Source organism: Homo sapiens, chromosome 1, assembly GCF_000001405.40.
Source record: "Homo sapiens chromosome 1, GRCh38.p14 Primary Assembly".
Classification (NCBI taxonomy): Eukaryota; Metazoa; Chordata; class Mammalia; order Primates; family Hominidae; genus Homo; species Homo sapiens.
In genome coordinates this window covers 119,394,679-119,410,560 of record NC_000001.11, presented here as the reverse complement: position 1 = coordinate 119,410,560, position 15,882 = coordinate 119,394,679, and positions in this window count along the sequence as shown.

Genomic DNA, 15,882 nt, shown 5'->3' with positions numbered 1-15,882 from the left:
TTCAAGAGGAGCGTGGTCCACTATGATGGATGCTGCTGGTGCATCAAATACAATAGGAAGAGAATTGACCATTGGTTTTGGCAACATCCTAAGTAATTTGGTAAGAGCAATTTCCTCGAATATTTGGGTTGAAAGTTCAACTGGAAAGTACAACCCACAATTCATCTGTGCGTTGAGGAGTAGAAGGAAAAAGTGAAGAGAGTGACCACTAAAAAAAAATACCTGTTCATCAATAATTTGTGCCATGAAGATCTCAGTAGAAAGGTGTTACAGCCAGTGGAGTTGAGAGTTTGTTTTTGTTGTGTTGTCTTAAAACTGGACTACTCCTTTATTGATCCTTAGCACCGTGTACAGAGTAGATGTTGAAACATTGTTGAGTGTTTGACTAAATAAAATGTCTATGTCTCATACATCTTTTTATTACCATGAGAATTTTCATAACATCTGACATATAAAGGAACTTAATAAATGTTTATTTAAAAAATGAATGGAAAGATGAGTGAACAATCAAGGACTCTAGAATATCTTAGTCCTTTTGAAACATAGTGCTTATGAACTAATACATAAAAGGAAATAGAAGAGAACAGTGACCACAAAAATGAAAATACTGGAAAGTTTCTCATACTAATGACAGATTGGGACCATTGCCCAGGCCAAAGCTGTTTGCCAAGGAGAAGCAATTTTCTTCCCATTCAGAGGATGGATATGAATAGGTTCCCAGGTATTTGAAGTGTATTTGAAGAGCCAGTTGTCAGAAGTAAGGAAGAATGGGCCATTCCCCCCACCATGCAGGTAGAGCTGGGGCCAGAGCTTTTGGTTTATATGAGCTCAACTTTGCTGTCTTTCCCAGAAGGCCTTCGAAGTGAGGAAGGAGAAGGGTTTAGTAAAATCTCATTTCCATTTTCTACTTACTATGCTGTCTGCCAATTATCTTGGTGGGAGAGGTTACATAGATGCCATTCAACCAGGTGCTCCAGAGGCTGACAATAATGGTATGATAGGCAGCCTCTAAGGTGGCACCATTGATCTCTGCCTCCTGGTATTCATACCTTTGATTTGTTCTTTTTGCTTAGTATTACTTTGGCTATGCAGGCTCTTGTTTGATTTCATATGAATTTTAGGATTGTTTTCTCTAGTTCTGTGAACAATAATGGTGGTATTTTGATGAGAATTGCATTTAATTTGTAGATCGCTTTTTGCAGTCTACAATTTTTTCACGATGCTGATTCTACCCATTCATGAGCATGGGATGTGTTTCCATTTGTTTGAGTCATCTATGATTTCTTTCAGCAGTGTTTTGTTGTTTTCCTTGTAGAGGTCTTTCGCCTACTTGGTTAGGTATATTCCTAAGTATTTTATTATTATTATTATTATTTTGCAGCTATTGTAAAAGGGGTTGAGTTCTTGATTTGGTTCTCAGTTTGGTAGCTGTTAATATATAGCAGAGCTACTGATTTGCATACATTAATTTTGTATCCTGAAATTTTGTGCCAAATTCAGCAAATGATAAAAGGACAAGGCCTTTTATAATTTTCTTAAATTTATTTGAGATTTGTCAGTTCTAGGAGCTTTCTGGAGGAGTCTTTAGGGTTTTGTAGATATACAATCATATTGTCAGCAGACAGCAAGAGTTTGACTTCCTCTTTACCGATTTGGATGCCCTTTCTTTCTTTCTGTTGTCTGACTGCCCTTGCTAGGACTTCCAGTACTGTGTTGAATAGAAGTGGTGAGAGTAGGCATCCTTGTCTTGTTCCAGTTCTCAGAGGGAATGCTTTCAACTTTTCCCCATTCAGTATTTTGTTGGCTGTGGATTTGTCATAGATGGCTTTTATTACATTGAGGTATGTTTCCTGTATGCCAATTTTGCTGAGGGTTTTAGTCATAAGGGGATGTTGAATTTTGTCAAATGCTTTTTTTGTGTTTGTTGAAATGATCATGTGATTTTTTTGTTTTTAATTCTGTTTATGTGGTGTATCACATTTATTGACTTGTGTATGTTAAACCATCCCTGCATCCCTGGTATGAAATGCACTTGACCATGGCGGATTATCTTTTTGATATGCTGTTAGATTCAGTTAGCTAATATGTTGTGAAAGATTTTTGCATCTATGTTAATCAGGGATATTGCTCTGTAGTTTTCTTTTTTTTGTCATGTTCTTTCCTGGTTTTGGTATTAGGGTGACACTAGCTTCATAGAATGGTTTAGGGAGGATTCCCTCTTTCTCAGTCTTGTGGAATAGTGTCAATAGGATTGGTACCAATTCTTCTTTGAGTGTCTTGTAGAAATGCATTGTGAATCCATCTGGTCCTGGACATTTTTTTTGTTGATAATATTTTCATTACCTTTTCATCCTCATTGCTTGTTATTGGTCTGTTCAGGGTTTCGAATTCTTCCCGATTTAAGCTAGGATGATTGTATCTTTCCAGGAATTTATCCATCTCCTCTAGCTTTTTCAGTTTATGCACATTAAAGTGTTCATAGTAGCCTTGAATAATCTTTTGTATTTCTGTGGTGTTGGTTGGAATGTCTCCTGTTTTGTTTCTAGTTGAACTTATTTGGCTCTCTTCCTGGTTAATCTTGCTAATGGTCTATCAATTTTATTTATCTTTTTAAAGATCCACCTTTTTATTTTATTTATCATTTCTATTTTTTGTTTCAATTTTATTTAGTTCTGCTCTGTTCTTGTTTTTTTCTTTCTTCTGCTGGGTTTGGATTTGGTTTGTTCTTGTTTCTCTAGTTCTGTAGGTATGACCTTAGATTATCTATTTGTGCTCTTTCAGATTTTTGATGTAGGCATTTAAGGCTATGAACTTTCTTTTTAGCACTGCCTTTGCTGTATCCCAGAAATTTTGATATGTTATGCCATTATTATCATTTAGTTTGAAGAATTCTTTAATTTTTTTCTTGATTTCATTGTTGACCCAATGATCACTCAGGAGCAGGTTATTTAATTTCCATGTAGTTGCTTGGTTTTGAAGGTTCCTTTTGAAGTTTATTTCCAATTTTAGTCCACTGTGGTCTGAGAGTGTACTTGATATAATCTGAATTTTCTTAAATTTATTGAGATTTGTTTTGCGGCCTATCATATGGTCTGTCTTGGAGAAAGTTCCATGCACTGATGAATAGAATGTATATTCTGAAGTTGTTCGGTAGAATGCTCTGTAAATATATGTTAAGTCCATTTGTTCCAGGGTATAGTTAAATCTATAGTTTCTTTGTTGACTTTTGTTTTGATGACCTGTCTAGTTCTGTCAGTGGGGTATTGAAGTCCCCTACTATTATTGTGTTACTGTCTATCTCACTTCTTAGGTCTAGTAGTAATTGTTTTATAAATTTGGGACCTCCAGTGTTAGCTGCATTTACATTTTGGATTGTGGCATTTATCTGTTGGACAAGGCCTTTTGTCATTATACAATGTCCCTCTTTTCCTTTTTTTAATTGCTGTTGCTTTAAAGTTTGTTTTGTCTGACATAAGAATAGCTACTTTTGCTCACTTTTGGTGTCCATTTGCATGAAATGTCTTTTTCCACCCCTTTACCCTAAGTTTATATGAGTCCTTACGTGTTAGGTCAGTATCTTGAAGGCAGCAGATACTTGGCTGGTGAATTCTTATCCATTCTGCAATACTGTATCTTTTAAGTGAAACATTTAGGCCATTTATATTCAACATTAGTATTGATATTTGAGATACTGTTCCATTCATTATGCTATTTGTTGCCTGTACACCTTGAGGTTCTTTTTATTGTATTTTTGTTTTATAGGTCTTGTGAGATTTATGCTTTAGAGAGGTTCTGTTTAGATGTATTTTCAGGATTTGTCTTAAGATTTAGAGCTTCTTTTACCAGTTTTTGTAGTGGTGGCTTGGTAGTGGTGAATTCTCTCAGCATTTATTTGTCAGAAAAAGATTGTATCTTTCCTTTATTTATGAAGCTTAGTTTTGCTGGATACAAAATTCTTGGCTGATAATTGTGTCGTTTAAGGAGGCTGATGATAGGGCCCCAATCCCTTCTGCTGAGAAATCTGCTGTTAATCTGATAGGTTTTCCTTTATGGGTTTTGCCTATAAGGAAAAAGCACCTGGTGCTTTTGCCTCACAGCTCTTAAGATTCTTTCCTTCATCTTGACTTTAGATAACCTAATGACAGTGTGCCTAGGCAGTGATCTTTTTGCAATGAATTTCCCAGGTGTTCTTTGAGTTTCTTGTATTTGAATGTCTAGGTGTCTAGCAAGACCAGGAAAGTTTTCCTCGATTATTCCCCCAAATAAGTTTTCCAAGCTTTTAGATTTCTCTTCTTTTTCAGGAATGACAGTTATTCTTAGGTTTGGTCATTTAATGTAACCACCAACTTCTTGGAGCCTTTGTTCATTTTCTAAATTCTTTTTTCTTTGTCTTTATTGAATAGGGTTAATTCTAAAACCTTGTCTTTGAGCTCTGAAGTTCTTTCTTCTGCTTGTTCAATTCTATTGCTGAGACTTTCCAGTATATTTTGCATTTCTCTAAGTGTCTTTTATTTCCTGAAGTTGTGATTGTTTTTTATTTATGCTATATATTTTACTGAAGACTTTTCCCCTCATATCTTCTATCTTTTTTTATTTCCTTAAATTGGACTTCACCTTTCTCTGATGCCTCCTTGATTAGCTTAATAATCAACCTTCTGAATTCTTTTTCAGGTAAATCAGGGATTTCTTCTTGGTTCGGATCCATTGCTCATGAGCTGGTATGATTTTTTGGGGGGGTGGGTGGGTTGTTTAAAAACCTTGTTTTGTCATATTACCAGGATTGTTATTCTGGTTCCTTCTCATTTGGGTAGGCTATGTCAGAGGGAAGATCTGGGGCTCAAGGCTGCTGTTCAGATTCTCTGTCCCACAGAGTGTTCCCTTGATGTATATTCTCCCCCTTTTCCTAGGGATGTGACTTCCTGAAAGCTGAAGAATCATGAATGTTATTTCTCTTCTGGATCTAGCTACCCAGCAAGGCCACTAGGCTCTGGGCTGGTACTTGGGGTTGTTTGCACAGAATCCTGGGATGTGAACCGTCTTCAGATCTCTCAGCTGTGGATACCAGCACCTGCTCTGGTGGAGGTAGCAGGAGAGTGAAATGGACTCTGAGAGGGTTCTTAGTTTTGGTTGTTTAATGCACTGTTTTTGTGCTGGTTGACCTCTTGCCAAGAGGTAGCACTTTCAAGAGAGCACCAGCTGTGGTAGTATAGGGAGGATCAGGCAGTGGGCAGGGCCCTAGAACTCCCAAGAAAATATGCCCTTTGTCTTCAACTACCAGGGTAGGTAGGGAAGGACCATCAGGTGGGGACAGGGTTAGGCATGTTTGAGCTCAGACTCTCCTGGGCAGGCTTGTTGCAGCTGCTGGGCTGTAGGGCTGTGGTTCCCAGGTCAATGGAGTTATGTTCCAGGAGGATTATGGCTGCCTCTGCTGTGTCATGCAGGTTGTGAGAGAAGTGGGGGAAATCTAGCAATCACAGGTCTCACCCAGCTCCCACACAACCCAAAAAGCTGCTCTCACTCCCAACATGCCCCCAACCCAACATCACCGAGTTTGTTTCCAGGCAGTGTGTCAGCAGAGCTGAGTCCCTGCACCAGGCTACCAGCCTCCCAGCTGAGAAAGTAAGCCAGGTTTTCACACCTTCCTGCTTGTTGAGTCTGCACATCAGATTCACACCCTCCGTTGAGTTTGTTTGTTTGGAATTGTTACAAAAGTCAGCTGAAGATTTCCTTCTCCCTGTGATCTTTTCCCAGTTCCTCTGGCAGCCCTTCCCAAGGACCCTTTTGAGAAAAGTCAGAAATGGCTTCCCTGGGGACCCAGAGAGTCCACAGGGCTTTTTCCACTGCTTCCTCTACCCCTGTATTTTGCTCAGCTCTCTAAATTGACTCAGCTCCAGGTTAAGATCAAATCCTTCTCCCATGATCTAGACCTTCAGGTTCTCTATTGAGGGTCTGTGTTTGGGAGCATATGATTACCCTTTTCTCACTTTCACACCTTGGGCACTCAGAGTATTTGGGCTCTCTTCCGAGTTCTGCAGGAGCAATCTGCTTTCTTCAGAGAGTCTGCGGGTTCTCTCAGCTTTCCTGGTATATTCCTGCAGTAGTTCTGGAGCTGAAGTTCACGATGCAAGTTTCCACATGCTGCTCTGTCCATCCAAGTGGGAGGAGCAATTCAGTCCTACCTCCCATTGTCCATTTTCCCTCCACTCCAGACATTTATTTTAAGGAATAATTAGTTAATATCAGACCAAGAGGTCATATGGGATATCTCCTTGCACACAAAAAGCTCTACACAAGAGCTATAATATATTAATTGAGCCCTTTACTATGTATCAGGAGCTTTACTATATTACCTCATTTAATTTTTTAAATGGACTTCATTTTCTATAATAGTTTTACCTTCACAACAAAACTGAGGGAAACTGCAGAGAGTTTTCATGTACTCCCTACCCCCACACATACGTAGCCTCCCCCACCATCAACAGCCTGCACCAGAATGGTACCTTTGATACAATCTATTGACCTGCATTGACACATCTTTGTCACTCAAAGTCCACAGTTTACTCTTGGTCTTGCACATTTTGTGAATTTTGACAGATGTATAAAGACATGTAACCACCATTATAGTATCATCTGCCCTAAAAATCCTCTGTGCTCTGCCTATTCATCCTTCTGTTCACTCTAACTCCAACAGCCATTGACCTTTGTACTGTCACCAAGGTTTTTTCTTTTCCAGAATGTATATATTTGGAATAACACTGCATGTAGCCCATTCATATTGGCTTCTTGCATTTAGTATAATACATTTAAGTTTCCTCCGTGTCTTTTTATGGCTTGATAGCGTTTTTCTTTTTTTTAAGCACTGAATAATATTCCATTTTCTGGATGTACCATAGTTTATTTATCCATTCACCTACTGAAGGACAATTTGGCTGCTTCCAAGTTTTGATAATCATGAATAAAACTTCTATGAAAATCTAATCTAAAAGTAGGCTTTGGTGTGGAAATAGATTTCCAAATTATTTCTGTAAATGCCATGGAGCATGATTGCTGGATCATATGGTAAGAACATATTTAGTTTTATAAGGAACAACTGGTACCAGCCACTGCAAAAATATGCCAAACTGTAAAGACCATCAAGGTTAGGAAGGAACTGCATCAACTAATGAGCAAAGTAACGAGCTAACATCATAATGACAGGATCAAATTCACGTATAACAATACTAACCTTAAATGTAAATGGGCTAAATGCTCCAATTAAAAGGCACAGTCTGGCAAATTGGATAAAGAGTCAAGATCCATCAGTGTACTGTATTCAGGAAACCCATCTCATGTGCAGAGACACACATAGGCTCAAGATAAAGGGATGGAAGAAGATCTACTAAGCAAATGGAAAACAAAAAAAGCCAGGGGTTGCAATTCTAGTCTCTGATAAAACAGCCTTTAAAGCAACAAAGATCAGAAGAGACAAAGAAGGCCATTACATAATGGTAAAGTGATCAATTCAGCAAGAAGAGCTAACTATCCTAAATATACATGCACCCAATACAGGAGCACCCAGATTCATAAAGCAAGTCCTTAGTTACCTACAAAGAGACTTAGACTCCCACACAATAATAATGGGAGACTTTAACACCCCACTGTCAACATTAGACAGATCAATGAGACAGAAAGTTAACAAGGATATCCAGGAGTTGAACTCAGCTCTGCACATAGCAGACCCAATAGACATCTACAGAACTCTCCACCCCAAATCAACAGAATATACATTCTTTTCAGCACCACACCACACCTATTCCAAAATTGACCACATACTTGGAAGTAAAGCACTCCTCAGCAAATGTGAAAGAACAGAAATTATAACAAACTCTCTCTCAGACCACAGTGCAATCAAACTACAACTCAGGATTAAAAAACTCACTCAAAACCGCTCAACTACATGGAAACTGAACAACCTGCTCCTGAATGACTACTGGGTATATAACGAAATGAAGGCAGAAATAAAGATGTTCTTTGAAACCAATGAGAACAAAGACATGACATACCAGAATCTCTGGGACACATTCAAATCAGTGTGTAGAGGGAAATTTATGGCACTAAATGCCCACAAGAGAAAGCAAGAAAGATCTAAAATTGACACCCTAACATCACAATTAAAAGAACTAGAGAAGCAAGAGCAAACACATTCAAAAGCTAGCAGAAGGCAAGAAATAACTAAGATCAGAGCAGAACTGAAGGAGATAGAGACACAAAAAACCCTTCAAAAAATCAATGAATCCAGGAGCTGGTTTTTTGAAAAGATCAACAAAATTGATAGACCACTAGCAAAACTAATAAAGAAGAAAAGAGAGAAGAATCAAATAGAGGCAACAAAAAATGACAAAAGGGATATCACCACCAATCCCACAGAAATACAAACTACCATCAGAGAATACTATAAACACCTCTATGCAAATAAACTAGAAAATCTAGAAGAAATGGATAAATTCCTTGAGACATACACTCTCCCAAGACTAAACCAGGAAGAAGTTGAATCTCTGAATAGAACAATAACAGGCTCTGAAATTGAAGCAATAATCAATAGCTTACCAACCAAAAAAAGTCCAGGACCAGATGGATTCACAGCCGAATTCTACCAGAGGTACAAGGAGGAGCTGGTACCATTCCTTCTGAAATTATTCCAATCAATAGAAAAAGAGGGAATCCTCCCTAACTCATTTTTTGAGGCCAGCATCATCCTGATACCAAAGCTGGGCAGAGACACAACAAAAAAAAGAGAATTTTAGACCAATATCCTTGATGAACATTGATGCAAAAATCCTCAATAAAATACAGGCAAACCGAATCCAGCAACACTTCAAAAAGCTTATCCACCATGATCAAGTGGGCTTCATCCCTGGGATGCAAGGCTTGTTCAACATATGCAAATCAATGAACATAATCCAGCATATAAACAGAACCAAAGACAAAAACCACATGATTATCTCAATAGATGCAGAAAAGGCCTTTGACAAAATTCAACAGCAGTTCATGCTAAAAACTTTCAACAAATTAGGTATTGATGGGACATATCTCAAAATAATAAGAGCTATCTATGATAAACCCACAGCCAATATCATACTAAATGGACAAAAACTGGAAGCATTCCCTTTGAAAACTGGCACAAGACAAGGATGCCCTCTCTCACCACTCCTATTCAACATAGTGTTGGAATTTCTGGCCAGGGCGATCAGGCAGGAGAAGGGAATAAAGGGTATTCAATTAGGAAAAAAGGAAGTCAAATTGTCCCTGTTTGCAGATGACATGATTGTATATCTAGAAAACCCCATCGTCTCAGCCCAAAATCTCCTTAAGCTGATAAGCAACTTCAGCAAAGTCTCAGGATACAAAATCAATGTGCAAAAATCACAAGCATTCTTATACACCAATGACAGACAAGCAGAGAGCCAAATCATGAGTGAACTCCCATTCACAATTGCTTCAAAGAGAATAAAATACCTAGGAATCCAACTTACAAGGGATATGAAGGACCTCCTCAAGGAGAACTACAAACCACTGCTCAATGAAATAAAAGAGGATAAAAACAAATGGAATAACATTCCATGCTCATGGGTAGGAAGAATCAATATCGTGAAAATGGCCATGCTGCGCAAGGTAATTTATAGATTCAATGCCATCCCCATTAAGCTACCAATGACTTTCTTCACAGAATTGGAAAAAACTACTTTAAAGTTTATATGGAACCAAAAAAGAGCCCGCATTGCCAAGTCAATCCTAAGCCAGAAGAATAAAGCTGGATGCATCATGCTACCTGACTTCAAACTATACTACAAGGCTACAGTAATCAAAACAGCATGGTACTGTTACCAAAACAGAGATATAGATCAATGGAACAGAACAGAGCCCTCAGAAATAATGCTGCATATCTACAACTATCTGATCTTTGACAAACTGACAAAAAGAAGAAATTCCCTATTTAATAAATGGTGCTGGGAAAACCGGCTAGCCATGTGTAGAAAGCTGAAACTGGATCCCTTCCTTACACCTTATACAAAAATTAATTCAAGATGGATTAAAGACTTACATGTTAGACCTAAAACCATAAAAACCCTAGAAGAAAATCTAGGCAATACCATTCAGGACATAGGCATGGGCAAGGACTTCATGTCTAAAACACCAAAAGCAATGGCAACAAAAGCCAAAATTGACAAATGTGATCTAATTAAACTAAAGAGCTTCTGCACAGCAAAAGAAACCACCATCAGCGTGAACAGGCAACCTACAAAATGGGAGAAAATTTTTGCAACCTACTCATCTGACAGAGGGCTAATATCCAGAATCTACAATGAACTCAAACAAATTTACAAGAAAAAAAAAATCCCATCAAAAAGTGGGCAAAGGATATGAACAGACACTTCTCAAAAGAAGACATTTATGCAGCCAAAAAACACATGAAAAAATGCTCATCATCACTGGCCACCAGAGAAATGCAAATCAAAACCACAATGAGATACCATCTCACACCAGTTAGAATGGCGATCATTAAAAAGTCAGGAAACAACAGGTGCTGGAGAGGATGTGGAGAAATAGGAACACATTTACACTATTGGTGGGACTGTAAACTAGTTCAACCATTGTGGAAGTCGGTGTGGCAATTCCTCAGGGATCTAGAACTAGCAATACCATTTGACCCAGCTGTCCCATTACTGGGTATATACCCAAAGGATTATAAATCATGCTGCTATAAAGACACATGCACACGTATGTTTATTGTGGCACTATTCACAATAGCAAAGACTTGGAACCAACACAAATGTCCAACAATGATAGACTGGATTAAGAAAATGTGGTACATATATAACATGAAATACTATGCAGCCATAAAAAACGATGAGTTCATGTCCTTTGTAGGGACATGGATGAAACTGGAAACCATCATTCTCAGCAAACTATCACAAGGACAAAAAACCAAACACCTCATGTTCTCACTCATAGGTGAGAATTGAACAATGAGAACACATGGACACAGGAAAGGGAACATCACACACCAGGGCCTGTAGTGAGGTGGGGGGAGGCGGGAGGGATAGCATTAGGAGATATACCTAATGCTAAATGCTGAGTTAGTGGGTGCAGCACACCAACATGGCACATGTGTACATATGTAACAAACCTGCACATTGTGCACATGTACCCTAAAACTTAAAATATAATAATAATAATAATAATAATAAAAAGAAACTGCCAAACTGCCTTACAAAGTTTCTGTACCATTTTGCATCCCACTAGCAATGGATGAGCATTCTTGATGCTCCACATTCTTGCTAGCATTTGGTGTTGACAGTGTTGCGGATTTTGCCATTCTAATGGGTGTGCAGTGTTATCTCATTTTTGTTTTAGTTTGCAATTCTCTAATAACATATGGTGTTGAATATCTTTTCATATGCTTTTTTGTAATCAATATATATTCTTTTGTTAGGTGTCTGTTCAGGTGTTTTGCCATCTTAAATCAGATTGCATTCCAAATGTAAGACATTTTTAGGAGTTAAGAGATTGCTTCTGAGATTTCATATGCATCTCTTCAGTTTACTGTGGGTATTCATTTTTCCATGTTTCTGAGCAGTAGAGAACAGCCTTTTGGCATTATCTTGATAACATTCTGGCTCATTTCCCTTATAATTTTGGATCTAGCCCTCTGAGCCCAGACAAACTTAAAAAATTACACACTTGTATCCAGGAGCACAGCTATCACCAGGTAGATGTATACAGAGAACTTCTACTATATTCTCTTATAAAGTAAGCTAACATAATTATCTATATACCACATTGCTTTAATACCATATGCTCATGTGATTTGTTTCACTCTTACCCCAAACCTATCTGTAATGTCTCCCACAAGTCCTCAGCTGATGATTTCAGGGTTGAAGAGATGACCTTAAGCAGACAATTATGCCTGCTTGAAGTACCTGTAATAAAAGAAACTTTGGGAAATTTTGCAACATGATCACTAGCCAACATGAAAGCATGAAAAAAAAATGATTTACGAGACTGTGATTGGGTGTTTGGAGGGGTGGATGTTATCCTACTTATGTTTTCTATAATTTCAAGTTTTATCTTCAAGGCTTTATTTGTTTACTTAACCACAAAAAAAATTTAGTACTGAGATGTTCTTATCTTTTTCTGATGTGAGGAGAATCATGAGACTGTAGTTATAAACTTAACACAAATGGAACGAGGCTGAGAAAGTGGTATCTGACAAAGAGTTCTATGATATAGAAGTGAAATTCCAGAGAGTAAAGTTTTAGAAAGGGCGCCAAGTCCCACTGTCTCTGTGGCTGATTTCTGATGGAGGACAAGGGTATGAGTGCAGGGGAACAAGCCAGAGGAGAGCAAAGTCTGTTTAGGTTTGGTCATATGCTAGTGAGTCAGCTCTTTCATGAGTTTGCCCACGGTCTGAGGCAAACTTGGGGACCCCTGGGTAAGAGAAGATTTCTTAGACTTTAATCTCTGCCATTAGTTTAGCTCTTTAGTACTTTATTGAGAAAGCCTCCATCTATCCACTAAAACTATCCAATGTGACCAAAATAAAGGTTTCTCCTTTCTCATTTACTGTGGAAGAACTGGAGTAGTCAATATTACTTTGTTTCCAGGGTCCCTAAGTCTCTTATCTGAAAACTCTCTTTCTGCTACTTTTCTTGGAGGTCAGTGCATTGCACAGAATAACATTAGCCAATGGGTCATAAAATCCTGTAACATCCTAGGTCATGAGAATGAATATTTTAGGCTTTCTTTTGCTCCTCTGTTCTGTATTGTCTCTGGCCTTGGCAGTGTGACTCAAAGTAAGAGATATTCCCAAAGTCCATTGCAGCAGTGCAGGAGTTAGCCTACACCAAAATCACCCTTGTCCCATATTCTTTCTTGATCTCATGAAATTGTATGGTCTGAAGGTGTTACCTCCAAATTCATATGTTGAAACTTAATTGCCAATGTGATAGTATTTACAGCTGGGGTCATTAGGAAGTGATTAACATACGAGGACAAGGCCCTCATGAATGGGATTAGTGACCTTATAAAAGGGCTTGAGGGAACTAGGTGGCCCCTTCCATTCCTCTGCCATGTGAGGACACAGTATCCATCTCCTGCAGAGGATGCAGCAACAAGAAGCCATCTTGGAAGGAGACTCTGGGCTTTTACCAGACTTACCAGCCTCCAGAATGTGAGATATAAGTTTCTGTTGTTTATAAATGATCTGATCTCATATATTTTGTTATACTAGCACAAACAGACTAAATCATGAAGCTTCCATTTTTTACAAGTCACATGTTGCTATGCAAATCAGGGTGTTGAAGGTCATCTACAAGGCCCATGGTCATCTAGGTCTCCTGTCCCATAATGCAACTGTGACTTGCTGTGTCATCCAGACAGTCATCCCTAGATATGTGCTTTCTTAGTATGTCCCTAAACTTTCAGCACAAGCACTCCATCCTGGCTGCCAGATTAAAGACCTCTCCTTGACCTCAAATTATCAGCCCACCAATGCAGCAGCCAATTTGACATCTGAGTAAAAAGTTAAGGCCTAACACTGGGATCATGGTCAATTTCCCTTTTCTTTTTATCAACCCATTAACAATTACATCTAATTTAGCCTTCTGAGCCCCTTTTCAATGACCATGATTCTCCAAAGTATCCGATGCTCTTCCAAGTATTCTAGCAACATCTGCTTTTTTTCTTTTCTTCTGATTTCTCTATGCTGCACTATTTAATAGATAGTATGATTTGTGTTGGGGCATATTTTATAAGTATAGCTCTTCTGTCCACAGTGCCAACTTCCACAGTTATTTCATGGATATATATAGGATGTGCAAAATTTTATAATCCACTGGCTGTTTCAGTCTTTTCTGATTTGCCCTTTAAGATCTTTTGCTCTGAGAAGAATCAAAGGGTCTTCTTTGAGTCACACACTTTATGAACTTTTTTTTTTAAAAGGGACTGCTGATTTGAAAGTTTGGGTGTTCACTTCTCCTGAATTCTGGGTTCTGAATTGCAGTTATAGGCAAGCAGGTTGTATGACCTTACTTCATTTTCCCTTTTCTAAATATGTGGGTGGTGGACATCCTATGCATATATTTGGCTTAAGCAAATAATCCTTAAAAGTTATTACCAGGGAGACTGCTGGGGGACTGCATTCTCTTTTGGTGTTTTCCATGCTAAAGTTCCTTTGACCCAGCCCTTGGCTCTGTGGGTTGATCTGGGCAAAAGTGGACCTGTACTATGGCGTGGTTTCATGCAGGGAAGTGTCCAGTCAAGGAATGATAGAAGACTTTTCAGGTCTATTGGCTTAGGTAGTGAACCATTCTGCTGGATTCCATCCTAACTCACAGTTTTCCTCCTCTGACTGCTATAATTCTCCAGATGTGCTGATGTAGTTTGATCCAGCTTTGCCTTCCTGGATTAATTTATTTAATAAATATGTATGGGGCCCTCTATGACATTGGACATGATTATAGGCTTTTTGGAACGTAGCAGGAAGCAAGACAGTCTAAGGTCCCTATGCAGGTACAGATAAACAATAAAGTAGACAACTGATAAGTTAGTTGCAGGTTGTGGTAACAGCTAGGAGGGGAGAAACAGTGTGATGTGATGAGTGAAGCAGATTGTTTTTGGGAGAGGATGGTCAGGGATGTCTCATCTCATCAGGGCGGTGACAGTTCAGCTGAGATCTTCATGCCAACAGACAGCCAATCATGAGAAGGTGAGGAACACCATTTTATGAAAAGGGAATGATAAATGTGAAGATCCAGAGGCAAGAAAGTTTTGATTGTTTATGGAATAGAAGGGAGGCCAATCTGGCTGTGGCATTATGAGTAAAAGGGAGAGTGATGAGGAAATGCGTTGGAAGGATGAGCAGATCATGCAGTGCCCGAGAGAGCTAGAGATCAGTTTAGAGTGGAATGGGAAGGTATAGAAAGGTTTTAAATAGGTGAGACATAGGATTTGATTTTACTTTTAAAAACTCTTTCAGGCTGTTGTATGGAGAACAGTGTGGCAAGCAGCAGGAGAGATGATGGGGAAGCCGTTGCTGAAGCTATTAGTTTAGACTTAGATTTTTTTTCTCTAACCTTCTTCTTCTATTTTTTTTTTTGTTTTGTTGTTGTTGTTTGAGATGGGGTCTTGCACTGTCACCCAGAACACTGGAATGCAGTGGCATGATCCTCAACTTCCCAGACCAAGTGATTCTCCTACCTCAGCCTCCTGAGTGGCTAGAACCATAGCTGCACACCAGCACACCCGGCTAGGTTTTTAACGAATTTTTAAATTTTGCAGAGGTATCCCTTTGTTGCCCACGAAAGCCTCAAAATTCTACGCTCAATTGATCCTCCTGCCTCAGCTTCCCAGAGTACTGGGATTATAGGCGTGCGCCTTCATGCCCAGCCATCTCTAACCTTCTTGATGTCTTCAAGTGCCAGATCTTATTCAGCTGAGTATCCCTGCTCTAGAAATCTATTCTAGCTGACTACTGGTCTCAGGAGGTTTTATTCTGATAGGTCATTTATATATTTTCCAACTATCCTTTATCTATCCCTCTATCCATCCATCTATCCCAGAAATGTTCATTGAGATGTTCCTATATGCCAAGTCCAGAATCAAGCATACAGTTTCTTGTCTGGAGCCATTCATAGTCTATTTGTGGAGAAAGACATGCAAATAAAGAAATATGACCAGGTGTAATAAGGGTTGTAATATTGGAATGTGCAAAGTACAATAGGAAGGACAGAGAAAATAGCCTGGGTTAATATTCGATGATAGTTGAAAGTTGAACAATGCCTTGAAAAGTTAATAGGAATTTTCCAAACAATAAGTATAGTATATATATGAGTATATATATGA